Here is a 1,390-nt window from a genome sequence, read left to right as displayed (position 1 = left end):
ACAAGTGACTGCAGGGCTGACTTATTTCTACATCCCCAATATCCTTCCTGGTAGTGGCAGAACCAAGATGAGAACCCCATTCTCAGATGCCTGAGTCGGCTACATCACATGTTACCTTGCTCTGGAGTGGACTACTTGCTTGGTGGATGTGCATTTGCAATAGTGAAAAGTCCACAGGATGCCAAAAGGAGACTCCTAATCTGAAAATACCATAGGTCATGTGGGTTCTGGCTGAGGACAGGGTGGGAGTGAGGCACAGGTGGAAATCAGACATGAAATCCTCCTATGGAAGAACTTAGCTCTTTTGGTGAGAGGTTCAAAGATTGGATACCCAAGAGTACAGTCCTCGAGGGAGCGAACCAAGAATAGCTCCTAAATTTTGGTAGAGGCCACCCTTAACATGGCTCAAGGAACTGACAGTTTCTAGCCTCTGTTTAGGAACACAGCCATGACTTTCAGAAGGCTTCAGCCAAAAGGTAGCTCTGCACCTACCTAAAAAATCCATAAGAGCCTGAAAAGAACCATGGACCACCCACAGTGTTACAAGAGCTTCACAAAGGGGCAGAGAACAAAAGAAAAGGACAATAATCTACAACATCCTTGAGTGTCAGTCAGAAACAGCTATGCACATGTAAAGAGACAGAGGAATCCATTTCAAACACATCCACATTTGGAGGGAGCTTAAGAAGTTCAAATGAAGCTACAAATTGTGATTGGGAGAAAATAAAAAGGAAATGAAAATTAGCTGCTGATATTGTGGCAGACATTACGCTGAATGTTTCAGATGCCTTTTTCTCTCATTTAATTAGAATGACCCCCTTCTGAGAGAGATGTAAGGAAATGATTGAGCGACAGGCAGGCAGTGGCAGAGCCAAGATAACAACTCCACCTGAGGTGGGCTGTGCTACCCCTATGTGGTTAAGAAGGGAATTAGGCTCTGGGGGGTTACTCAGCCTGGACAAGCTAGCCGGTGGTAGGATGGGGCTCATCCCTAGACATATCCAATTGTAAAGCCCAGCTCTTTCCATCCAACCACACCACTTAGAACAAACTGCTCCAGGCCATTCTATCCTGACCCACCCAATAATGGAGGCAAGCTTATGTAGGCCCTAACCCAAATATCAAATGATCTCCTTTTAGAACTGCACAGATTAATCTAAAACTCTTAAGAAAAATAAATGCATGAGAACACACGCACAAAAATAATGCTAAAAAAAGCAATAATAGAAGCAGACCATATCACAAAGCAACAATAATAAAAATGTATAATACTTACAGAGTAAAGAACATAAATTTTTATAACGGAAAAAGTCCATGGCATAATTTAGCATGTGATTAAGTCAGCATCAAAACTAACTGGGATAATTAACACATATAAGTACTTATTTTA

The 1,390-nt window shown here is 42.2% G+C and overlaps 1 annotated feature.

The window, feature by feature from the left end:
* Positions 285-1,168: an enhancer, noted in NCBI's record as "OCT4-NANOG hESC enhancer chr9:110634669-110635552 (GRCh37/hg19 assembly coordinates)". NCBI's record gives its function as "activates a minimal SCP1, AML or CMV promoter by ChIP-STARR-seq in naive H9 embryonic stem cells {active_cell/tissue: H9 hESC(naive)}" and the evidence as "EXISTENCE:reporter gene assay evidence [ECO:0000049][PMID:30033119]".

Source organism: Homo sapiens, chromosome 9 (genome assembly GCF_000001405.40).
Source record: "Homo sapiens chromosome 9, GRCh38.p14 Primary Assembly".
Taxonomy (NCBI): domain Eukaryota; kingdom Metazoa; phylum Chordata; class Mammalia; order Primates; family Hominidae; genus Homo; species Homo sapiens.
This window is presented reverse-complemented; position numbering and strand designations above follow the sequence as displayed.